Source organism: Homo sapiens, chromosome 9 (assembly GCF_000001405.40).
Source record: "Homo sapiens chromosome 9, GRCh38.p14 Primary Assembly".
Taxonomy (NCBI): Eukaryota; Metazoa; Chordata; class Mammalia; order Primates; family Hominidae; genus Homo; species Homo sapiens.
In genome coordinates, this window is record NC_000009.12 from 32,274,745 (window position 1) to 32,301,275 (window position 26,531).

The window sequence follows — 26,531 nt, forward strand, 5'->3', positions numbered from 1 at the left end:
TGCTCCAGCATCTTACCTTAAGTTCATAGCAGGGGCACATAAGAGGGGGTTCTAACCCCAGCATGAAAGTTAGGGTAGACTTCCTTGAAACACCATTCTAAACTAAGATGGGTAAATCAACAGACTTTGCTAAGTAAAGTGTGGGAGAAAGTATATTTTCAGAGTCTACAGTATGTACAAAGTTTTGGAGCTGAAAGACATCATGCAATAGCCGGCAAAAGAAGGAAAAGGGAAGAAATCTCAACGATACCCCTCTGTGTTTCCCACCTACAATGAGAGCATGAGATTGGATGAAATTGGATTCACCAGCTTCTCTCACTACCTCAACACCCTAGGGATTCTTCTTATAATTGGGATACATATGTAGCCACCGCTTTATGATATGCAAGGCCCATTCCTTTATACATTCATTCAAGAAAGTTACATTCACATCTGGTGTACAATATCTAAGTAAAAATGGGTGCTAAGAACAGAGATGATAATCACTATTTTATAGATGAGAACAGAGGAAACAATTATGAACTTGATCAGACATAGCTAAGTGGAGTAGGCAAATGCAGAACCCAGGGCTTCTGGTTCCTAGCTCACTTCTCTTTCTACCTCATCCAAAATATTCCAAATATCAGTAGCCAAAAATATCATACAAGGCTATTTTTGTTTGTAGCACTTCAGCAAGATGTCCCCAAGGTACAGTATAGAACAGAGCAATAAAGTGGCCAGACAAGAGGGTGGTAGAATGGCAGCAAAAGGAGTGGGTGTAGGTCAATCTGAAAGTTTTTACCATACTATTTTCCTTTATGTGGATCTACTAGTTATTTACTTTTTTCTTATTTCCTGAACTGCAATCCTCTCTACAGCAAACAACTAGTTATTTTTGTATATCCATCACACTCAAGATCATTCCTTCAAAAATTCTGAACTACTCCTAGGTTTTCTAGGAGAGCCTTGACTTTATTCCTTCCCATGTCAATAAATACTAAAATGTTTCAGAAATTCTAATATATCACAATGCAAACTATGTGTCCCAGACTGCCTCTCATTCTCAAAGTCATTCCCCTAAATCCTTTGTTATATAAGATTTTTGTTAACTACCATGATTGTACATATACCATATAAAGGGTTGTTTTGCATGCAATAGGCGCTTAACAAATGCCTTTTGGTTAGATTTCTATATTGGTCAGCTTGGGCTACTATAACAAAATTTTGTAGACTGGGTGGGTTCAACAATAGGAATTTATTTTCTTGTAGTTCCAGAGGCTGGAAGTCTGAGACCAGAGTGCCAGCACAGTTGCTGTCTGGTGAGGGCTCTCTTCTAAGCTTGCAGATGGCCACCCTCTCGATGTGTTCTCATATGGCAGAAAGAAAGCCAACAAGCTCTCTGGTGTATCTTCTTATAAGAAACCTTGCCCTCATGGCCTTATCTAACCCTAGTTATCTCTCAAAGGCCCCATCTCCAAATACAACTCATTCCGGCATCAATTCTAAAGACTAAAGTCTGGTTTAAATATCATCTAAATTAGGTATGAATGAGACTTGAGATATGGTTCGTCCTAAGGCAAAATTCCTCTCCAGCTTTGAACCTGTGAAACCAGACAAGTTATGATGCGCTTCCAAAATGCAGTGGTGGGACAGGCATAGAATAGACATTCCCATTCAAAAAGGAAAAAATAGGAAAAAAAAGAAAAAGGTGATGGGTCCCAAGCAGGTCTAAAACCTAGTAAGGCAAATTTCATTAACATCTTAAGGCTCAAGAATAACCCTCCTAATACTGAAATCTGGGTGAAGTCGAAATAATTTAAAATTTAAATAATAAAAAAAAAAAGAAAAAAATAACTCTGTTTGGTTTGATGCTCCGCCCATGCCTTAAGTTCACAATGCCAGTCCTACCCACATGGTTGTGGCAGCTCTGATGATCCCTGAATCCCCTTTGGGGTCGTTCTTTCCTTTCCTTGAAAAATGGTGCAGTTTCACAACCAAATACCTCCGTGATCTAGTCCTACAAAATCCAAGAAGTCCAACAGCCTTCCTCCAATCTGTCCTGCTTTCTCTGGCCTCCTTTAGCTCCAACTGGCAGTATCTTTGCTAGTATAATCCCATCTGTATTCCTGATTTCTGCTGAGATGGCTGGTTATATCCATGAGTCACACCTGGCTGTCTTTATCAAATGGTTGTTCAGCCACACCCTCAGTGTTCTCTTCAGAAAAAGTTTATCATTTTTGCAATACAGATATGCTGATAATTTTGCATCTACATGTTCTGGTTCCTTTCTGCATAAAAATTCCTCTTCAAATAATCTCTCTCACTTTTCATATTTTACTATAAGCAGTCTTGAGCAACCAAACTGTTCCTTCAATATTTTGCTTAGAAATGTCCTCAGCTAAATATCCAATTTTATCACTCACAAGCTCTACCTTCCACAAGACACCAGAACATAGTTCAGTCAAGTTCTTTACCATTTTATAACAAGAATTATCTTCCTTCTAGTTTCCAATAACACTGAGACCTCCCAGAACTGACCTTAACATTCATATTTCTAGCATGTACCCCAAAACACTTATGGCCTCTATGCATTATTCAGTTTCAAAGCTGCTTCCACATGTGTAGGTATTTGTTACAGCAGAACCCCACTTCTTGTTACCAAAATCTGTATTAGTCAGGGTCTTCAGAGACAGAGAACCAATAAGATAGGTAGGTAAGTAGATAGAAGATAGATAGATAGATAGATAGATAGTCTTATAATAAAAAGGTTTATTATAGGAAATTGGCCTGTCCAATTATGAAGGCCAAGAAGTCCCAAGATCTGCAGTCAGCAAGCTAGAGGCCCAGCAGAGCTAATGGTGTAAGTTCCATCTAAAAACAAGCAGGTTCAAGACCTAAGAAGAGCCAATGTTTCAGTTTGAGTTTGCAGGCCAGAAAAGACCAATGTCCCAGTTCAAAACACTCAGGCAGGAGGATTTCCCTCTTACTCAGCCTTTTTGTTCTATTCAGGTCTTCAATCATTCAATGGGGCCCACTCACATTTAGAAAAGACAATCTACTTTACTCAGTCTAAACAGTTCAAATGTTACTCATCCAGAAGCACCCTCACAGACACACTAGGAATAATTTTATCCAAATGTCTGGCCACCTTGTGTCCCAGTGGGGTTGACACATAAAATTAACCATCACAACTTCAAAACCAATTAAGTATTAAAATTCTAAATTCTACATTTCTTAAATTCATGATTTCCCTTTCCTTTTTAACCTGCTATTCAATTTTCTAGCAAGCTTACCACTAGGGTGCTGCTGCTTCTTTTCTTCCCTGGATACCATCCTCCATTTTTCCCAGCTGCACCCAGCTTCTTCCTAACTCTGTTTGATTTTTTATTCTTCTCTCTCTCTCTCATCCTCCTTACTGGAGAATATAACCTCAGTGCTCTGTCTCTCTCTCTCTCTCTCTCTCTCTCTCTCTCTCTCTCTCTCTCTCATCCTCCTTACTGGAGAATATAACCTCAGTGCTCTCTCATCCTCCTTACTGGAGAATATAACCTCAGTGCTCCGTTTCGCTCAAGAATTAGTTTCCAAGAATCCTTCCATCAACTATTATCTCTTTCACAAGGAGATATTAAGCTGTGCCCAAGGCAATAGAATCTTGTTTCTATAAGCAATGATCCCAGAACAGCCACTAAACCCAGCAGTGCCAAGTGACTAATAATGATGAACTGGAGATTTTAGCCTGTTTAAAATTGTAGGGTGTTCTCATAGCGCTCATCTGCTTATTTCTCTTTTGAGAACAAGTAGTGCATGCCTCCCAGCCTCTTCCCTCTGATAATGGGATTTCTGGTCCATGTCATCTAACTCAGTACTACTTGCAAGGCCACAAGGTGCCAGAAACCTATGTTCACAGGTGCTGGAACCTAGGAGAAATTGTCAGTACTGCTGGTAGTCAGGAGAGTTTGTTTACCCTTGTGTTACAAAGGAAGATATTTTGTTACTGCCATACCTCTGATAATGGCCACCTTGTGCTAGGAACTCACACAGAACAGGGCTGAATAGGAACCATGCAGGAGAAATTATTTGGCTGCGATTCAGAAAAGGAGTCCTGGCAAAATCTAAATCACAAGTATTAATAAAATGCATTTTCATGAACAAAGGTTCAACACTCCTTTCTTGGTAATTACATCTGGCAAGACAATAAGCTTAAATTCCCTTCCGTTCAAATTCTCTATTTTACCCCCTTTCTAATTGGAAAAATAGACCCTGAATCAACTCTAGAATTTTTCATAAAGTTGTAAGGGAATGCTCTTATTTAGGGATCATTTAATCTGCCTCATTTACACAGGTGAAGAAACTAAGTTTCCTTGGAGTGAAATGAATTGCTCAAGTCATAAGTGAAAGGTAGACCTGGCACAAGAGCCTAGACCTGTCTTTTCCCTCTTGTGCTGGAGCTACCATATACCATGGACAGTGCCTCCCCCACTTCCATGACCTGCTCTGCCACTCCCTCACCAGGATATTTGGCCCCTCTAATGGTCAGCTAGTTTACAGAAAGTTAGACAGTAATTCTTTTCATCTTACCCAAATAAGAGACAAATAAAAAAGCATGTACTGATCTTCTGAAACTACTGTTACAAATATATGCCACAAAAAGATTATTTTTCTATCCAACAACTTACAGATAATGTCTTAATCATTTCTTTTATCAATCTCAAAATTCAGCCTCAAATAGAATTATGTAATTATGAGAAATTTTCCTGGTAATGTCAGCAAGAGAAAAAGTCATCTATTTTTAAGAACACATTTTCTCTGTAAACAACGAGCCTATAATTTTTTAGTGTTATTTTTCAGTTCACTTTTTCCCATGATACTATATAAAAGTCTTTCCTTAAATCCAGAGTTTCAAAAATTAGCCCAAGGCTGTATTATGCCATGGCCCTACAGGCCCTGCCACCTCCCCTAACTTCTCATTGTGCTCATTATCAATCCTACACAGAGCTGGGGCAGAGCAATAAGCTAGGACTGAGAAATGATCAAATGTCCCAGTTCTGCAGCCATCTAATTTTCACTTTTTAACACAGGATATGAACTTGGGCACTTCTCACAGCCTCCTAAATCTTCCACTCTTGGGTGATGCTACCTCCATTAAGCAGAGCTCCTTATACTCATCTAAACAAAAGTTAAAAGATGCATCTGGTTTGAAGAGAATCTGGAATATTCTAACTTATGTAATTCTCTCTTCTGGGTCTTGAAGAGGGTGTTTAATCTCATCCTGTCTTTATCTTGCCTGTGCCTTGTCCTAGTTTAAATGGCCTCAACCATCATACCTTGTTTTGATTAATGTAGTTAACAGCATGAGTTTTAGAGAGAGACAAACTTCGTTTTCAGTCTGACTCTGTTCCTACTAGCTTTGTGACCTGGCCAAATCAGTAGAAACAAAGTTAACTATGTTGCTCAGCTTCAGTTTCCTCATGCTTTAAATGGAGGACATAAAACTTGCCTCAAATGGTCCTTGTAGGGTGAAATGAAATAATGTATATGAAATATTTGGCATAGTTCCTGGCACATTGTTAGTGCTCTTATTATTTAGAAGATAATATGAAAACATTTTATTTTGGCTAATTTCCGCATCTCTTTCTTTTTCAACTTTTTATTTTACATTTGGGGGTACATGTGCAGGTTTATTACCTGGGTATATTGCGGATGTTGGGATTTGGGATATGAATGATCTCATCACTCAGGTAGTGAGCATAGTACCCAACAGTTAGTTTTTCAACTCTTGCCCCACCTCCCTCCCTACCTTCTCTTTAGCAGGCCCCAATGTCTATTGTTCCCATCTTTATGTCCCTGAGTACCCAGCATGTCCGTTTAGCTAAATGAGAGCATGCATAATTTGGTTTTCTGTTCCATTGTTAATTCACTTAGGATAATGGCCTCCAGCTGCATCCATGTGGCTGAAAGGACATGATTTCATTCTTTTTATGGCTGCATAGTATTCTATGATGTATATGTACCACATTTTCTTTATCCAGTCCACCATTGATGGGCACCTATGTTTATTCTATGTCTTTGCTATTGTGAACAGCATGGCAAGGAACGTGCACGTGCATGTGTCTTTTTCGTATAATGACTCATTTTCTTTTGAATATATACCCAGTAATGAGATTCCTGGGTTGAATGGTAGCTCTGTTTTAAGTTCTTTGAGAAATCTCCAAACTGCTCTCCACAGTGGCTGAACTAATTTATATTCCCACCAACAGTGTATAAGCATTCCATTTTGTCTGCCGCCTCGCCATCATCTGTTGCTTTATGACTTTTTAATAATAGTCATTCTGTATTATGACTCACATAATACAATGTGAGATGGTATCTCATTGTAGTTTTGATTTGCATTTCTCTGATGATTATTGATAATGAACATTTTTTCATGTTTCTTAGCCACTTGTATGTCTTCACCCATTGTGCAGGCTTGGTGGGATGGTATGACAGGGTATTTTCCCTCCCACTACAGAAGTCACAGAGGATCTATGAGAGCCTCTTTTTCCCACCCCAGTATCTGAGTTGAAGAGGTGAAGGCAATAAGGGGGCATATGGTTTAAGTTCTGCAGTATGGAAAATTCACATTTCCTATATAGGGCTCATAAATGTATCTAATCAATTAATATTTATTGAACACCATGTGTCATGTTCAATGCTAGACTCTGGGGGATTAATTAACAACACTATTCCTGCCCTCATAGGGATTATAATTTAGTAAATAATTCCAAGACAGTGCCCAAAGTTCAATAATAGAAGTATGGTGAGACCAGAGCGCAAAGAAAAGAGTAGATATTTCTACATGGAAACCTCAGAAAACATGTCATTGAGGTGTGCTGAGCATTGAGAAATAATCAGTATGAGGGGAAGGATGTTCCAGATAATAAAGCAGGATTGACACAATCATGGAAGTGTTAAATAGCAAGAGAAATTTTAGGGGCTCAAGTCATGGCTGGTGCATAGAGTGGGAAATGATGACTAGAGGAAGCTAGCTTTTAGAAAGATGAATGATCTTCTGCAAATTTCTACATGTTAGGATATTTCAGATTTTTTTATTTTAAAAAGTTAAATACAAAAATAAAGGAGAGTCAAGGGGCTTAAAATGAATTTTTTTTCCCAAGCTAAGGAACTCCAGCTATAATATGAAAACCCTAGGGAACCATTGAAATACAGTAAGCAAGGACTGTGCAATCAAATCAACCTTTTTGAGGATTAAAGATTGATTTGGAAGAGAAAACTGGAGTCAGGTAGGCTTGAAGTTGCTATAACCAACCCCACTAGGATTAAAGAGGTTTGCTGAGAACAGAACCTGGTGCTCACTCCCTACATCTTTAAAAAGAAGAAGGTAATGATGCCTTACTTCTTCAATTGCCCATTCCATCTGTGCAAAATGAAAAGACAGGCAATTGGTAGGATAGAGATGAGGGGATAAAGGCCTAGGTATTAAGACTAAGATGATAAACTGGCAGGAAATCCTTTCATGTAAATATAAGGCAGGCTGTCGGCAAGGAGATGCTGGATGGTTTAGTTAAGTCATGGCGGTCACTTTTATTGAATCTAACTTTTAACTTTCCCTCCAGTGAGAAATGTATGATAGGAATTGTTTACTTGTCCACAGCCACGGTCTTCTGCGAAGGTCCAATTTATCTACAACCTCAGAAAGTTATGAAAGAGCTCTGAAGTTGTAACTGGCCAGCCAGATTTGACTTTATCTTTTCTTTGGGAGTGCCACTTCATCAGATGGGTCTCCTGGAAGACAATGATGAATCTGTCACTAAGGAAGGCATCGTGTAGAATCAAAAACATTCAAACTAAAAGTTATTTAAATAAAATTAAGTTGTTAAACCAAAAGGGGGGTAATAATTTTTTAACTTTGTCATGTAGAGGGTGGGAGGATTAATTCACTTGTTTGTGTGAAGTGTTTTAAAGATAAATTGTGCAGCTAATGTGCCAAAGCTCATTTTTATTATGCTTATTTGCTGTGTCCTGCATAAATATTTAATAGGTACCCTGAGAAGTAACTCTTGTTTAATCTATCATCCATTTTCCTATTAGTAGATAGTGTACAACAGCTTAACTTTCCCCCTGAATACATTATTTTTAAAAACACCTGCAAGATAGTTTTCTATCAACCAAGCAATAATCCACAAATAAATTATTATAACATTTTTATCTTTCTTATCAATAAAAATCACATAGTATGGTAGAACCTATGTGTTGGAGCTCCTTCAAGGCAAAATATGAGTTAATTTTTCTGTGCACCATTGTGGTCATACTCAAATTGATCATTGCCAAGGAAAGTTTTTTTTAATAAACACGAAACAATGCAGGTTCTTACTCAGCTGTTTTTAAGCATTAACAACAATAAAACATGCCTTATTTCTAGAAACAAAGGCTTCACAAATTAAGAAGAAAAAAACTCCCATTATCATTCAAAGGTAATTTTTAGTCAGCGTGCTTCATGCTCCATTAATTAATCTATTTGTAAGAAAAAAGAAAAAGGAGTACCAACACCTCTTTTCATTGGATTTGTATCCCTTAAGTGAGATCAACACAGGCCCCAGGCTCTGGCCAGGGCACCCAGCCTGGCTGCATTAAGGATCCCTGGCAAGCTTTCTTCTTGGTCTGTGTTTCTCTGGAGATCTCCCTGTAGCCAGCTGTGCAGATGAGCACCTTAGCCTTTCACTGCAGCAAGTGCAGACCCCCATGTGTGCACAACACCTGGCACTAGCAGGCAGAAGGCAGAAAGCCAGCAGATAATTCACGGCAAGTAATGTTGGCAGAAAAATAGCAGGAAGCAAGCAAGGGAATAATGTTTAGGAGAAAAGGCATGTACAAGGTTCTCCTTCACAGGCTATAAGATTACAGTGTGTCCATCACACTTGCAGATGAACATGAGAACAGAGAAGTTGCAAGGTTTTCATATGTTTTCAATTGTTGCCAAGAGAACTCTGTGTCCCCAGTACACTAATTATGGGTCCAACTAGTTCTGTACCACCAACCCAAAGAACATGCAACTAATTCCAAAATGCAGGATAATTCTTTTCCTAGATGAAGCCTTAATGACTTGGACAGCTCTCCCTTTATCAGTGGGAAGGCCCTATCTGGAAGGCCAGGCTCCAAACAGAAATAAAGGATGCTACCTTTTCTTCTACCACACTTGTCTCTACTGCTTCAACCAAACCAGAAAATCTGATCCTACTTAGCCTTAGAAAATTTCTTATAGCCACAGGGGCAGAATCAAAGTTAGTGTCATTGCTTTTTTTCCCCAAGGTCTTGCCCTTTTGCCTACCTTAGACTTGAGCTTATCAATGAGGAACTAGCTCTCCTTGTGCAGGTGGAAGAAGCTATTCTGTGCCTTTGAGTCAAGTTTCCTCAAAAGGGTGAGATGATATATAGGTTAAGCCTGATAGCTTGTATGTCAAGCTTAATTTGAATCTTGGCTTTATCACATAAGAGCTGTGTGACCTTCAGCAAGTTAATCAACATTTCTGAGGTTCAGTTTACTCACTTGCAAAATGAGGAAATAGTACTGCAAGGATTAAATGCCAGCTTTCACTGTATTCTTCATCTAATATGCAGCCAATCATATATGAACGTAGAAACAGTGAATGTAATGCAAATTTTTAAAATGCTAATGTTTTAGAGCAATATGTATTCATACAATTATACATCACTCTATTCTTCAGTATCAAACCAAAATTTAAGTGACGCCATCTTTGAGAATCTAAGCCATTTTCATCTGTAGCCATTCTCAGTTATGCATGTTTCTTTTTCAAAACCTGTGCTCATTATCTTAACTGTGTTGGCAATTTCAGTTTGACAACACGATCACTTAGCATTCAGGACTGCTGTGTATGTTTGTACAGTTTATACACTGACAGCATTAGAAAATGTCATCCACATAGACTATGGGGCATGTCTAAAAATACTACATTTTCTTCAACGAATGTGTATTTCCAGAAATATACCTTCTCTTCATGAAAGCTACCAGAGTCGGATAGAGCTGAGTATTCAGCACCTGCAGGATCAATGTCAGTATGATGCATGATTTGGTTGGACCAACCTCTTTTCACTTTGAAGACTTTTATTAATGTAAGAATATAGAGCTGATTGACATTTAAATGAAAGAATTGTTCGTAACCGTAAATATAATTATTTTACACTGCTGAAAGAGACAACATGAAAGAAGCCTGGATTTTATTAAGGTTTTTGAGAAACATTTGTTCTGTTGGATATTCTATTACTGAATGACCAACAAATAGTCCAAAACAATTTTCAAATTCTAACCTTGCTTTCTAAATTATACATATCATTATTCAAAGTTTATCGAGCCCAGAAGAAATATTAAATAAATTAAATAGCTATTCTCATAAAGTTATTTTAAATATAATACATTTAACTAATCATAAAATATTATATACTCATTGCAAACAATTTTGGAGGAAAAAAGTGAGCATAGAAAAAAAGTCCATCAAAATCACACATATTATTATCACCCATAGATAACCTCTCTAACCATTTGGCTATATTTATTCCCAATTTTCTTCAAATGATATACATATATATGTAGTTTTTCTATAAATTCAAAATTATTAAATTATACACATATTTTTTCCATAAGTTATTGGAGTACAGGTGGTATTTGGTGGCATGAGTAAGTTATTTGGTGGTGATTTGTGGATTTTGGTGCATCCATCACCCGAGAAGTACACACTGCACCATATTTGTGGTCTTTTATCCCTCGCCCCCTCACTCTTCCTCACAAGTCCCCAAAGTCCATTGTATCATTCTTATGCCTTTGCATCCTCATAGCTTAGCTCCCACATATCAGTGAGAACAGACGATTGTTTGGTTTTCCATTCCTGAGTTACTTCACTTAGAATAATAGTCTCCAGTCTCATCCAGGACACTGCAAATGCTGTTAATTCATTCCTTTTTATGGCTGAGTAGTATGCCATTTTATATATATAAATATATATATGTGTATGTATATATGTGTATATATACATATATATATACACATATATACACATATATATACACATGTATATATACATATATGTGTATATATATACACACATATATATACACATATATATGTGTATATATATACACATATATATGTATATATATATACACGTATATATATATACATATATATACGTGTATATATATATATGTATGACAGTTTCTTTATCCACTCATTGATTAATGGGGTGCTTCCACGATTTTGCTATTGTGAATTGTGCTGCTATAAACCATGAGTGTGCAAGTATCTTTTTTGAATAATGACTTCTTTTCCTCTTGGTAGACTGCGTAAATACCCAGTAGTGAGACTGCTGGATCAAATGGTAGTTCTACTTTTAGTTCTTTAAGGAATCTCCACACGTTTTCCATAGTGGCTCTACTAGCTTACATTCCCACTAGCAGTGTAGAAGTGTTCCCTGTTCACCACATCCATGCCAACATCTACTGTTTTTTGATTTTTTTATTATGGCCATTCTTGCAGGAGTAAGATGGTATTGCATTGCGGTGTTGATTTGCATTTCCCTGATGATTAGTGATGTTGAACATTTTTTCATGTGTTTGTTGGCCATTTGTATATCTTCTTTTGAGAATTGTCTATTCATATCCTTAGCCCACTTTTTGATGGGATTGTTTCTTTCTTACTGATTTGTTTGAGTTTGTTGTAGATTCTGGATATTAGTCCTTTGCCAGATGTATAGATTGTGAAGATTTTCTCCCACTCTATGGGTTGTCTGTTTACTATGCTGACTGTTCCTTTTGCCATGCAAAAGCTCTTTAGTTTAATTAGGTCCCGGCTATTTATCTTTGTTTTTATCACATTTGCTTTTGGGTTCTTGGTCATGAAATCCTTGCCTAAGCCAATGACTAGAAGGGTTTTTCCAAAGTTATCTTCTAGAATTTTATAGTTTCAGGTCTTAGGTTTAAGTCCTTAATCCATCTTGCGTTGATTTTTGTATAAGGTGAGAGATGAGGATCCAGTTTCATTCTCCTACATGTGGCTAGCCAATTATCCCAGCACCGTTTGTTGAAAAGGGTGTCTTTTTCCCACTTTATGTTTTTGTTTGATTTGTCTAAGATCAGTTGGTTGTATTTGAGTTTATTTCTGGGTTCTCTATTCTATTCCATTGGTCTATGTGCCTATTTGTATAGCAGTACCATGCTGTTTTGGTGACTATGGCCTTATAGTACAGTTTGAAATCAGGTAGTGTGATGTTTCCAGATTTGCTCTTTTTGATTAGTCTTGCTTCTTTTTGATTAGGCTATGCAGGCTCTTTTTTTGGTTCCATATGAATTTTATAATTTTTTTTCGAATTCTAAAGATGAATGATGGTGGTATTTTGATAGGGATTGCACTGAATTTGTAGATTGCTTTTGGCAGTATGGTCATTTTCACAATATTGATTCTACCCATCCATGAGCATGGGATGTGTTTCCATTTGTTTGTGTTGTCTATGATTTCTTTCAGCAGTGTTTTGTAGTTTTCCTTGTAGAGGTCATTCAATTCCTTTCTTAGCTATATTCTTATGTATTTTTTTTTCTTGAAGCTATTGTAAAAGTGGTTGAGTTCTTGATTTCATTCTCTGCTTCGTTGTTGTTGGTGTATAGAAGAGCTACGGATTTGTGTACATTAATCTTGTATCTGGAAACTTTGCTGAATTCTTTTATCAGTTCTCGGAGCTTTCTGGAGGAGTCCTTAGGGTTTTCAAATAAACGATCATATCGTCAGCAAACACTGACAGTCTGACTTCCTCTTTACTGATTTGGATGCCCTTTATTTCTTCCTCTTGTCTGATTGCTGTGGCTAGGACTTCCAGTACTATGTCGAAGAGGAGTGGTGAGAGTGGGCATTCTTGTCTTGTTTCAGTTCTCAGAGGGAATGCTTTCGACTTTTCCCCATTCAGTATTATGTTGGCTGTGGGTTTGTCATAGATGGCTTTTATTACATTGAGGTATGTCCCTTGTATGCCGATTTTTCTGAGAGTTTTAATCATAAAGGGATGCTGGATTTTGTTGAATGCTTTTTCAACATCTATTGAGATGATTGTGAGATTTTTGTTTTTATTTCTGTTTATGTGGTGTATCACATTTATTGACTTGTGTATGTTAAAGCATCCCTGCATCCCTGGTATGAAACCCACTTGATCATGGTGAATTATCGTTTTGATATGCAGTTGGATTCAGTTAGCTAGTATTTTGTTAAGGATTTTCGCATCAATGTTCATCAAGGATATCAGTGTATAGTTTTCTTTTTTGGTCATGTCCTTCCCTGGTTTTGGTATTAGGGTGATGCTGGCTTCATAGAATGAATTAGGGAGGGTTCCTTCTTTCTTTATCTTGTAGAATAGTGTCAAAAGGATTGGTACCAATTCTTCTTTGAATGTCTGTTAGAATTCTCTGAATCCATCCAGTCCTGGACTTTTTTTGTTGGTAATTTTTTAATTACCATTTCAATCTCGCTACTTGTTATTGGTCTGTTCAGGGCATCTAATTCTTCCTGAGTTAAGCTAGGAGGGTTATATTTTTCCAGGAATGTATCCATCTCTTCTAGATTTTCTAGTTTATGTGTGTAAAGGTGTTCATAGTAGCCCTGAATGAACTTTTGTATTTCAGTGGTGTCAGTTGTAATATGTCCTATTTCCTTTCTTAGTGAGGTTATTTGGATTTTCTCTCTTCTTTTCTTGGTTAATCTTGCTGATGGTCTATCAATTTTATTTATCTTTTCAAAGGACTAACTTTTTGTTTCATCTATCTTTTGTATTTTTTTGTTGTTGTTTAAATTTCATTTAGCTCTGCTCTGATCTTGGTAACTTCCTTTCTTCTGCTGGATTTGGGTTTGGTTTGTTCTTGTTTCTCTAGTTCCTTGAGTTATGACCTTACAATGTCAGTTTGTGCACTAAGCTTAGGGCTATAAACTTTCCTCTTACCACTGCCTTTGTTGTATCCCAGAGGTTTTGATAGGTTGTGTCATTGTCATTTACTTTGAAGAATTTTTTAATTATCATCTTGATTTCATTTCTGATGCAATATTCATTCAGGAGCAGGTTATTTAATTTCCACGTATTTGCATGGTTCTGAAGCTTCCTTTTGGAGTTGATTTCCAGTTCTATTCCACCGTGGTCTGAGAGAGTGCTTGATATAATTTCAATTGTCTTAAATTTATTGAGGCTCATTATATGGCCTATCATATGGTCTATCATGGAGAAAGTTTCATGCACTGTTGAATAGAATGTGTATTCTGTGGCTCTTGTATGAAGTGTTCTGTATATATCTATTAAGTCCATTTGTTCCAAAGTATAGTTTAAATCCATTGTTTCTTTGTTAACTTTCTGTCTTGATAAACTGGCTAGTGCTGTTAGTGGAGTATTGAAGTCCCCCACTATTATTCGGTTGCTTTCTATCTCATTTCTTAGGTCTATTAGTAATTGTTTTATAAATGTGGGAGCTCCAGTGTTAGGTGCATATATGTTTAGGATTGTGATATTTTCCTGTTGGACAAGGCCTTTTACCACTATATAATGTCCTTCTATGACTCTTTTAACTGCTGTTGCTTTAAAGTTTGTTTTGTCTGATATAAGAGTAGCTATCCCAGCTCACTTTTGGCGTCTATTTGCATGAAATGCCTTTCTCCTCCCCTTTACTTTAAGTTTATATGAGTCCTTATGTGTTAGATGAGTCTACTGAAGACAGCAGATAGTTGGTATTGATGAGTTCTTATCCATTCTGCAGTTCTGTATCTTTTAAGTGGAGCATTTAGGCCATTTGCATTCAATGTTAGTGTTGAAATATGAGGTACTGTTGCATTCATCATGCTCTTTGTTACCTTTGGGATTTTTGTTTGTTTGTTTTTGCTTTTTAACATGTATTTTCGTTTTATAGCTCCTGTGTGATTTATGCTTTAAAGAGGTTCTGTTTTGATGTATTTCTAGAATTTGTTTCAAGATTTAGAGCTCCTTTTAGCAGTTCTTGTAGTGGTGGATTGGTAATAGCGAATTCTCTCAGCATTTGTTTTCTGAAAATGACTATATCTTTCCTTGATATATAATGCTTAGTTTCACTGGATACAAACTTCTTGGCTGATAATTGTTTTGTTTGAGAAGACTGAAGATAGGGTCCCAATTCCTTCTAGCTTGTAGGGTTTCTGCTGAGAAATCTGCTGTTAATCTGATAGCTTTTCCTTTATGGGTTACCTGATGCTTCTGTCTCATACCTCTTCAGATTCTTTCCTTCGCCTTAACTTTGGATAACCTGATGACAATGTGCCTAGGCGAAGATCTTTTTGTGATGAATTTTTCAGGTGTTCTCTGATCTTCTTGTGTATTGATATCTGGGTCTCTAGCAAGGCCAGGAAGTTTTCCTCAATTATTCCCCAGAATATGTTTTCCAAGCTTTTAGAATTCTCTTCTTCCTCAGCAACACTGACTATTCTTAAGTTTGGTCATTTAACATAATCCCAGACTTCTTGGAGACTTGGTTCATATTTTCTTATTCTTTTTTCTTTGTCTTTGTTGGATCAGGTTAATTCGAAGACCTTGTCTTTGAGCTCTGAATTTCTTTCTTCTACTTGTTTAATTCTATTTCTGAGACTTTCCAGAGCATTTCAAATTTCTAAAAGTGTGTCCAAAGTTTCCTGAATTTTTTTATTGTTTTCTCTTTAAGCTATTTACTTGAATATTTCTCCCTTCACTTCTTGTATCATGTTTTTGAATCTCCTTGCATTGGGCTTTGCCTTTCTCTGGTCCCTCCCTGATTAGCCTAGTAACTAACCTCCTGAATTCTTTTTCAGGTAAATCAGGGATTTCTTCTTGGTTTGGATCCATTGCTGGTGAACTAGTGTTATTTTTTGGCAGTGTTGAAGAGCCTTGCTCTGTCATATTAACAGGGTTGATTTTCTGGTGACTTCTCATTTGGGTAGGCTCTGTCAGAGGGAAGGTCTAGGGCTGAAAGCTGTTGTTCAGATTCTTTTGTTCCATGGGGTGTTCTCTTGATGTAGTACTCCCCTTTTTCCTATGGTTGTGGCTTCCTGTGAGCCAAACTGCTGTGATTATTGTCTCTCTTCTGGGACTAGCCACCCAGCAAGTCTACCCGGCTCCAAGCTGGTATTGGGGGTTGTCTGCACCAACCACCATCTATGGGTCTCTCAGTCATGGATACCAGCTGCTGTTCCAGTGGAGGTGGTGAGGTGGGTTCAATGGACTCTGTGAGGGTTCTTAGCTTTGGTGGTTTAGTGCTCTATTTTTGTGCTGGTTGGCCTCCTGCCAGGAGGTGGCACTTTCCAGAAAGCATCAGCTATAGTAGTATGGAGCGGGACAGGCAGTGAGCAGGGCCCTAGAACTCCCAAGATTATATGCCCTTTGTCTTCCATTACCAGGGTGGGTAGGGAAGGACCATCAGGTGGGGGCAGGGCTAGGCATGTCTGAGCTCAGACTCTCCTTGAGTGGGTCCTGCTGGGGCTGCTGTGGGGCATGGGGGTGAGATTCCCAGGTCAATGGAGTTGTGTACCTACAAGGATTATGGCTACCTTTTCTGAGTCATGCAGGTGGTCAGGGAAGTCGGGGAAAGCCAGCAGTCACAGGCCTCACCCAGCTCCCATGCAAACTGAAGGGTCAGTCACTCTCCCACCATGGCCCCACCCCAATAGTCCCGAGTCTGTTTCCAGGTGAAGGGTGTGATGGGCTTGAAAACTTGCCCCAGGCTACCCGCCTCGCAACTGAGAGAGAAAAGGGCTTGGTTCTTCCCCCACCTGTGGAGTCTGCAAACCAGATTTGTGCCCTCCCCCAGGTTCTGGCCAGGAGGCTTCTCATCCTGTTCAAATTGTTACAAAGTTCAGCTAGAGATTGCCTTCTCCCTGTGGAATTTTACCCCCTGCTCCTCTGGTCTCCCTCCCAATGGATTCCTGTGGTGCCAGGCAGGAATGGCCTGCTAGGGGACAAGCAAGGTCCCAGGGCCTTTCTGCTGCTTCCTCTAACCTTGTATTTCACTCAGCTCTCCAAATTGACTCAGCTCCAGGTAGTTGGAAACTTCTGCAAACAGACCTTCAGGTTCTCCAGTTGGGGATGTGTGTTCAGGAGAGGAGGGTCTCCTTTTCCCACTTCTGCAGTCGGGGCACTCACAGTATTTGGAGTGTCTCCCAGGTCCTGCAGGAGCAGTCCACTTCTTTCAGAGGGTCTGTGGGTTCTCTTGGGATTGCTGGTTTGTTCTTGCAGTTGAACTGGAGCTAAAATTCACAATGTGAGCTTCCGCAAGCTGCTCTGTCTGGAGCTGCAATCTAGTCCTGCCTCCCATCTGCCATGATGATCGCCCTAAATTATACACATTTTTAATTTTAACAACATCATTAAGCTTCTATGAAATATCTCCCCAAATGTCTTTTTAAATGACTGCATGTTAGTATATTATTAGATATTTTGGTTGCTGTTACTTTTTAACTATTATAAATAATATTGTGATAAATGTCTTTTACAAAAATCTTTGATTAAATATCTGATTTTTTTTATAAGACAGATCCCTAAAGTTTCAAAGGAACCTGTTAAAGACTTTGTCACACCTTGCCAGTTTCCCTCTATAAAGTTTATGCCAAATACATTCCTACCAGAACAGTATGAAAGCATTCACTTTTTTTACATCCTTGCCAACGCTAGGCTTTTTCACTATTTCTGGCATTCAGTTTATATTTGTTGTTTACCTACAATGGTCAGATCTTGGGCTATGGCCTCAATAAATGCAGCATAGTAGAACAAACAGTGAATAAATATAATTTATGATGTTAAAAATAAGTATGTAAAATGAGTGTGTCTTACAAAAGGGGAGGCAACTGCCTGAGAAGAAAACAAACTTGAGTTATAGCAAGTAGTAGTATAGCCCAGCTGAGAAGGCCTTCTTCCTCAAAAATATCTTCTAGATATTAAAATGTACTTCTGGTATATAATATTTTAAATGTCATCCCACAGATGAAGAGCAGGCATACCACTTCCAAAAGCTGGCCAACCAGTGGAAGCCAAACAGAACTTTAACCAACATTTCGTGACAGCCAAGGAAAAGAATCTTAACAATCCTGAGCTAGATCCAAACCTCGCAATGAGTACATGGATGGCAAATTCAAATATGACCCAGTGGGGCACTTTCTGCTCTTCAGAGGCAGCCTTTACACAGGTTTAGGAAGATTTGCTGAGCATTTTCCAGTACAAGGCACTAACTTTTTTGTAAGCCTTCTAAGATCAGGAAAAATGTATTTAATTTAGAAATAATGCAGGTATATTAATACCTAAAATTTCAATGCACCATAGGAATTTAACTACAAAATTCTGGTGTAAGTCAAGGAAAGCCATGAAGCTAAAATCAGCAAGCCTCTTAACTATAGAGCAGTAAATGTGGCCAAAAACATTTAAAACATAGAGGAAATCTAAATTGAATAAAAAGGAATTGAAAACACTGCCAAATGCAAAATTAAGCTCTCTTGTTCTCTCATTTTGCAGTTAATTTACCCCCATTACAACATTACAACCCTTTGGTCTACTATTTGCCATGAATTTTACTGCCAGGATTTTAACTGCTTTTTAATATGCCCTCAGTTTTACACACACACACACACACACACACACACACACACAAACACACACACGAGGAGTCTTCAAAAGGTTCATGGCAAATGCAAATTATGGAAAAACTACAAGTGTATTTCAAATTTTTTGCACCAAAATAAACTCATACTAACTTGTTATATATAACATATCTGAACAGGATCTAGTTTGAGGCACTAAGAAGAATAAGACAGTCTACAGCCATACCAGCTTGAATGTGCCCAATCCTTGTCTGGCCTCAGAAGCTAAGCAGGGATGGTCCTGATTAGTACTTTGTAAGAAGGATAAGACATCAGTTTGAAAAGAGCCCCTATCAGAGCAGTATAAATTCTGCTAAAATTGAAGCAAGAACAAACACCAAATTTCTAGTAATGTTTGGGTGAAAGAGTGATGAAATCATTGATGCTGTATGAAAAGCTTATGGTGAAAAGTCCCTCAAAGAAGTTTACAAATGGATAACTCATTTTAAGAGGAGATGAAACAATGTTGACAATGACACTCATAGCAGCAGACCAACCACATAAATCTGGAAGGAAAAGATTAATCTATTTGTGCCCTAACTGAAGAGGACAAATAATTAACAGCACACATAACAGCCAACGCCATAGACAGCTCAACTGGTTCAGCTCACACAATTCTGAAGTTGAGCAAACTTTCCACTCAATGAGTGCCAAAACCATTGTGCCTAGATCAGCTGCAGACAAAAGTAGAGCTGTCAGTGGACATTTTAAACAGGTGGGATCAAGATCCTGTACTATTTTCTCAAAGAATTGTATCAGCAAGTGAAACATGGCTTTACTGATATGATCTTGAAGATGAAATACAAAGCATTGGCTACCAGAAGTGGAAGTGGTTCAGTCAAAGCAAAAGCAGACCAATCAAAAGCAAAGGTCATGTCAACAGTTTCTAGGGATCCTCAAGGCATTTTGCTGTTGACTTTTTCTGCAGGGCCAAAGAAAGATAACATCTGTTTATTATGAAAGTGTTTTGAGAAAGCCAAATCTTTAGCAGAAAAATGCCTGGGAAAGCTTCACCGAGAGTCATTCTCCACCATGCCAATGCTCCCGCTCATCCTTCTCATCAAACAAGGGCAATTTTGCAATTTATAGTCCTGGTTTGGCTCCCTCTGACTTCTTTTTGTTTTCTAATCGTAAACGATGCCAATTTTTCTGCAGTTAATAATGTAAAAAAGACTGCATTGGCACGATTAAATTCCCAGCACTTTCAGTTCTTTTGGGGGATGGACTAAACAGCTGGTATTATCACTAATAAAAGTGTCTTGAATTTGACAGAGCTATGTTCAGAAATAAAGTTTAGGCTTTTATTTTTATCTTTTAATTCTAGTTTTCTATGAACTTTTTGAAGTCTCCTTATACACAACATTAGGGCATAAATTACTCCAAGAACAAAAGAAAAAAATATTTGTACCCTAAGCAATGCGTGCCTGGCACTTTCTGCAAATGCCCCCAATATCCAAAATTATTTGTGTGTGAATAATCCTACCTTGGGCTATTGTTCAAGAAACAAATAGCAAAATCTAGATATTAAAAGATATTTAATGAGAGTCTAAGATGATACATTTTTCTTTAAGTTTCAACACTGAATTAGCAGCACTGAGGAGGCAATATAAAATAGTTAAGGGCCTAAAAGTATGGATTTGAATTTCTACTGAATAATTAAAATCCATGTGACTTCACAAATCACTTAACCTTTTGTAACCCTATACAATGTGTGTTAGGAAAATAATACTTAACCTCTAGAGTTATTGTAAAAGTTAAATGAAAATAGTACCATATTAGTAGTAGTACATATCAGCTGTTGTTTTGATTACTTAACTATTATGCTTAGAGAGAAATTCCTAGTCCTCCTAGATTTCACAGCAAATTCTTGTTGAAATATATAGGGTGTTACAATCACTCAGAGCTTTTTGCCCAAACCCAAAACCTGAAAAATATCATTAAATCCTTGTGTGCAGTTAGTTTCTAATGTTAGACAATTTTCTAAGCCTACCTAGTATTTATTTCTGCCCTTAAATATATAAACCTCAATACAGTTCATGAGAACATATAGATTCATAGCCTGTAGAAATAATTGCTTTTCAAATGTATTAGTCAGAGAGAATTGTTTAAGAATTTTTTTAAAGATCTGTCAAAATCACAAAAACCAGACCATCTCTGAGAGGCAGGGGAACCATCTGCTCAGATCCATATTGGCACTGCTCTCCCTCCAGAACACTGCTCTCCCTCCAGAGTAGCTTGTTCTGAAAGGATGAGGACCTGTCTCAAGTGGCTACAGATCCTGGCTCAGGTGATAACCTTTCTTAGGTAGACTATATTGATAGCTGGAGGAGTGATAGAGTACTCTGTTTTAATTGTAAAGATGATGTCACTCCGCCTGGTTCTTCCTTGAAGCATTCTACAGCGTAGAATTAAGCAGAATGTCTGAGGTCCCAGATGACTAAAATTAGTGAGAAAATGAGGGACCCTTAGGTGTAGCACTGAATTGTTTTTTGAATCAAAGTTTACAGAAGGCCTTGTCAGAAGCTTATGTCTAAGGAAGCATAAGCTTCTTAGCCACAATAAGAAGATGCAAGATTCCAAGGAAATCAAATGGTGAAATTTGTCTGAATAATGTTTTGAGGAATGATCAAAATACAGTATGTATTTGGAGAATAACTAAAATTCTAGGACTGAAGCTCTACTTAATTTCATTCTTCATTCTAATTGTTTTTCCATTTACATTCACAACTTAAAGAGATGGGAAGATCAAAAAGACAGAAAGAGTGAAATTCTGTTTAATTGCAGGATCTTATGTTCACAGGAAGGTTGAAAGCCTGAATCCTTATTAAAAGTTTAATCTGCATCTTCTTTATAGCAACACATTTCCACTTGGGACAGTTTTATATCTATCTTGGCAAGTGAATTTAATCCAGGAAAATGCATTTGCTTACTATTCTCTTGGACAAACAAATTGTTGGTGTGCCTTGACATTCTAGAATAGTAACTCTTATTATTTTCTCTGTTGTTATTCACAAACTTTGACATCTTCCTGTCAGTAGCATTATCCATGCAATTCATCAAAGCTTCAGTTTTAACATAAACTCCTCAAACACACCTCGCTTGAGAAGTGTCCTCACTGGCTTTTTTCTGTTATATCCCTTCAAGTTAACTTCCACCTGACAAATCAAGTTTTTTTTTTCTTTTCTGTAACCATTAATCTTCACTGAAAAGCTGTTCAAATGCCTTCCAACAGCTTCAGGGGCAGAACCTCCTGCTGGCGCTCATAACTCTCATAAATATTATTGGGATTGTGTATGTACATCAGAGAGAGATACTGAACCCCAGAGAACATGAAAGGAAAAACAGCAACTTCATTCTGAGTGAATATAAGTTGTGCAACTGAACACAGGAGACAATGCATGCAGAAAATTAGTTAGCAATTGAAAGGGCAAACAGGTGTTCCACATGGGCTCTGCTTCTAGGAGGAAATAAGAATGTCACACTTTATTGTGTATTATTCTTGCTTATTATTATATCTTATCTCCTCTAGTAAATGATAAACTTCCTGCAAGCAGCATCTTTGTATTATGTATGAAGTATTTGTCAGGCATTCAGAAAATGTTTGTGAATAAATGAATGGATGAGTAGATAAGTGAGTAGATACATGGGTGGATGAAAATACCTTCTGAAATAAAGCCTATATTATTAACATTTCAAAAAAATAGTCTCTAGTAAGAACATACTCCTTAATACCAAAATAAGCAAAATATTCCAAGACTTTTTGGAAAGCACTGTCACATTATTTGTGTGTGTGTGTGTGTGTGTGTGTGTGTGTGTGTGTGTGTATTTATCTCAAAGCCACCCACATAATTTTTGAGGATCACTGTTTTAGAGATTAAAAACATCACCGTATTTTTTAAATCTTGGTGTTAGTTGCCTGGCCATGCACTGGAGCCTTAGAGCATTTTCTAAAGAAATATTTCCTGTGGAAATAAGTGAGGGAAGATTATGACAGGGAAAAAGAAGCATTTCTAACAAATTGGGTCAAAAAGAAAAGAAGATTTAATACCCTCAAAAATTATACTTACATTAATGCTCAGAACATTTATATAGGAGCTAGAGGAGGGGTAAAGCTCTTGTGATTAGGAGAGTATGAATTTAGAGTTGTGAAATTAGCCTTACCACATTTGAGTATTCTAGTGAGAATCATATTCTAACAGAGAGAGTATCAGAGTGTTTCTTCTGCCTTATTATTTCAGTTTTACTTCTGGCAAGGTAGCCAAGTGAGTTTGCTGGTCCGTGATGATTCTCTATGAACTTACATAGCGATAAACAGCTCAGAACACTTCTCAAAGCCCTATGCAAAACCTAGCTTCTTCCCCAGACACTGGAGCTATTTGAAAGGGAATTTAAAACAACTTTGATTGATATGTTAAAGGTTCTAATTGAAAAGTAGAACACATCCAAGATCAGAGGGGTAATTTCATCAGAGAGGTGATAGAAAAAATATAAAACCATAACAGAGACAAATAACATCTTTAACAGCTCATTTGTAGACTCAACACAAATAGACTTGAAGAAAGGTAAGTAAGAGCAATTACCACAAATGAAATCCCGCAAGGAAAAAAAATGAATATAAACTTTCAAAAGAATAGAAAATCCAAGAGCTAGGCAGTAATATTCTGGAGGACAAGAAAGAGAAAAAGGGGCAGAAGAATATATGCAAAGAAATAATGACCAAGAGTTTTCTAAAATTTATAACAGCCATGAAACAGTATATCTAAGAAACTCAGAAAATACCAACCATGATAAATACCAAAACAAAAAAAGATCTAGACATAACATATTCAAACTGCTAAAACAAAGACAATGAGAAATTCTTGAAAGACAATCAAATATAAAAGAAACTTTATATATAGATGAATAAACATAATAATTACAACAAACTTCTTATCAGAAACATCTGAGCCAGAAGACAATACCATTAAAGTGGTGAAAGAAAAATCTCTCAACCCAAAAATCTATACCCAGCAAAAACATTTTTCAAAAATGAAGGAAAAATAAAGACTTTTTAAACAAAAACTGAGGAAACTTGTTTCCAGCAGACCTACTGTACAAGAAATATTAAATTTCTCCTTGTACACTGTTCGTAGAAATATAAATTTGTACAGCCGTTTTGGAAGATTCTATCCTCAATTGATTTGAAATCAATTTGTCAGAGAGATGTCTGCACTCCCATGTTTATTGCAGCGCTAGTCACAATAGCCAAGTTGTGAAATCAACCTAAGTTTCCACCAACAGATGAGTGGATAAAGAAGGTGTGGTGTATACACACAATAGAATACTATACAGCCTTTAAAAAGAAAGGAGTTCTGTCATTTACAAAAACACAAGTGAGCCTGGAGGACACTGTGTTAAGCAAAATAAGCCAGGCACAGAAAGACAAATATTGCATGTTCTCATTTCTATGTGGAATCTAAAACAATGACATTTGCAGAAGTGGAGAGTAGAATAGTGATTGCCAGAGACTGGGAGTTTTAGGGAGTAGGGGAGATGACAGTCAAAGGGTACAAGGTCTCAGTTAGACAGGAGGAATAAGGTTTCTTTAGATCTATTCTACAGTATAGTGAATATAGTTAATAATAGTGTATTATATATTTCTAAGTTGCTAAAAGAGTAAATTTCAAATGTTCTCATCACAGAAAGGATACGTATTTGAGGTAATGGATATGTGAATTAGCTTGACTTAATTACTCCACATGGAATGTATAAATCATAACATCACTGTGTTCCCCATGAATATATACAATTATAGTTTGTCAACTTGTAATAAAATTCTTAAAAGAAATTCAAAAATTCTTCAGGCATAAATAATATATCAGAAAGAAAATTTGATATACAAAAGAAACCAAAATACAGGAAATAAATAGATAAATATAAATTTAAATTAATCAGAATGAAAATTTGATCTACAAAAGAAATCAAAATACAGGAAATAAATAGATAAATATAAATTTAAATTAATCAGAATGAAAATTTGATCTACAAAAGAAATCAAAATACAGGAAATAAATAGATAAATATAAATTAAATTAATATTTTCTTATTTTTAATTGCTTTGTAGCAAAAATAATAGCAATATATTATATGTTTATAGCATATAAAAATAGTAAAAGAAATGACAATAGCACAAAGGATGGGGAAAAAGGAATTGAGAATATACAGTAATAAGGTCTTCATGCTACACATGGAGCAGTATAATATAATTTGAAGATATGTTTCATACATATGTCAAAAGCCCTGGGTTGAACGAAAATAAAATTTTTAATGGTACAAATAATGTCAGTAGAGGAGACAGAATAATTTTTTTTTAATGCTCTAGGTAGAAAAGGGGGCAGGGAAGCAAAGAAACAGATGGAAGAAGTGGAAAATAACCAGCAAAATGGTACATTTTAATTCAACTCTATCAATGATCACATTAAATGTGAATGATTTAAGAAGAGTAGTTTAAAAGACAACAATTTCATATTGGATTTAAAAAGCAAGACCAAAATATATGTTATCTACAAGAAGTTGACTTTAAGTTTAAAGACATATAAGTAAAAATGAAAAGGGTAGAGAAAGATATACCTTGCAAAAATTCTACAAATGAAAGCTGGATAACTATATTACTATCAGACAAAACAAGCTTCAGAAAATGAATAACATTAGGAATAAAGGAGAACACTATATAATGTCAATCCTCCAAGAATACATAACAATTTATGTATGCAGTTAACAACAGAGCTCCAATTATAGAGGCAAAAACTGATGGAACTGAAAGAGAAAATTAACAAATCCACAATTTTAATTGAAAACGTCAACATTCCCTTCAGAATTAAACACTATAAACCAACTAGACCTAAATCACATATAGGACCCTCCATCCAGCAATAGAAAAATACACATTATTTTCCAGTGCACATAAAACATACACCAAGATAGGTCATATTCTGAGCCATAAAACAAACTTCAACACATTTAGAAGAGTAGAAATCATACAAAGCCTTCATATCACGAAATGAGAGTAAAAGTTTGGGCTCCCAACTCAGTCTTTGTTGCCTAAAGTAAGAGGGGATTTGTGGTTTCCCTGGTGCTTAGTTGGAATAAGGCAGTTATTGACAAAAGCTTGCTCTTGCTAAGTTGCCCTTTACCCAGTCCTTCATCTAGGGAAAGCAAACTTTGCAGGAGGAGGGCTTTTGATCTGTGCCCATTAGTATTTCCTGGGGTCAGGCTGCTAAAAGAATATTTAAATAAGATCTACAATCTCATAATACAATGACATGAAAATCTATTGTCATACTAAGAACAAGGAAAATCTCAATTTGAATGAGAAAAGGCAATTAACAGATGCCCATACCAAGACGACACAGATATTAGATTATCTGATGAGAATTTTTTAATGACCATCCTATAATTCCTTCAACAAGCAATTATGAATATGCTTACAAAAAATGCAAACTAGAAAGTTCCAGTGATATAAATAAATAATATAAAGACAAACCAAATGGAAATTTTAGAACTGAAAGATACAATGACCAAAATAGAAAACTCATTGAATGGGCTCAACAGAAGAATAAAGAGGAGAGAGAAAATAGTCAATAAACTTGAAGACAGAGCAATAAATATGAGCCAAACTAAACATATAAAGAAAATAGATGAAAAAATTAACATAACCTCAGGGATCTGTAGAATAATAAAAGATCTAACATTCATTTCATTGGAGTCCTGGATGGGCAAAAGAAAGAATGTGGAACTGGAAAAGTATTAAAGGAAATAGAGCTTACACATCTCCCTAATATGGCAAAAGACATAAACATAAAGATTCATAAAGCAAAATGAATCTCAAACAGCATAAACCCAAATAAATCCA

At 36.7% G+C, this 26,531-nt stretch overlaps 1 long non-coding RNA gene and 1 pseudogene across 1 annotated transcript in view, besides 1 other annotated feature; one reads left to right on the forward strand and one right to left on the reverse strand.

Annotated features, from left to right (window-relative positions):
- Positions 1-7,535: 7,535 nt before the first annotated feature.
- Positions 7,536-26,531, reverse strand: part of LOC107987059 (uncharacterized) — a 69,745-nt gene continuing 50,749 nt past the window's right edge. Inside the window, exon 3 of the long non-coding RNA XR_001746645.2 lies at positions 7,536-7,761. This is a non-coding gene — a long non-coding RNA (uncharacterized LOC107987059). The remainder of the gene's footprint in view (positions 7,762-26,531) is intronic.
- Positions 16,631-17,130: an enhancer, noted in NCBI's record as "H3K4me1 hESC enhancer chr9:32291373-32291872 (GRCh37/hg19 assembly coordinates)". NCBI's record gives its function as "activates a minimal SCP1, AML or CMV promoter by ChIP-STARR-seq in naive and primed H9 embryonic stem cells {active_cell/tissue: H9 hESC(naive and primed)}" and the evidence as "EXISTENCE:reporter gene assay evidence [ECO:0000049][PMID:30033119]".
- RNA5SP281 (RNA, 5S ribosomal pseudogene 281) lies at positions 18,814-18,948 on the forward strand (annotated as a pseudogene).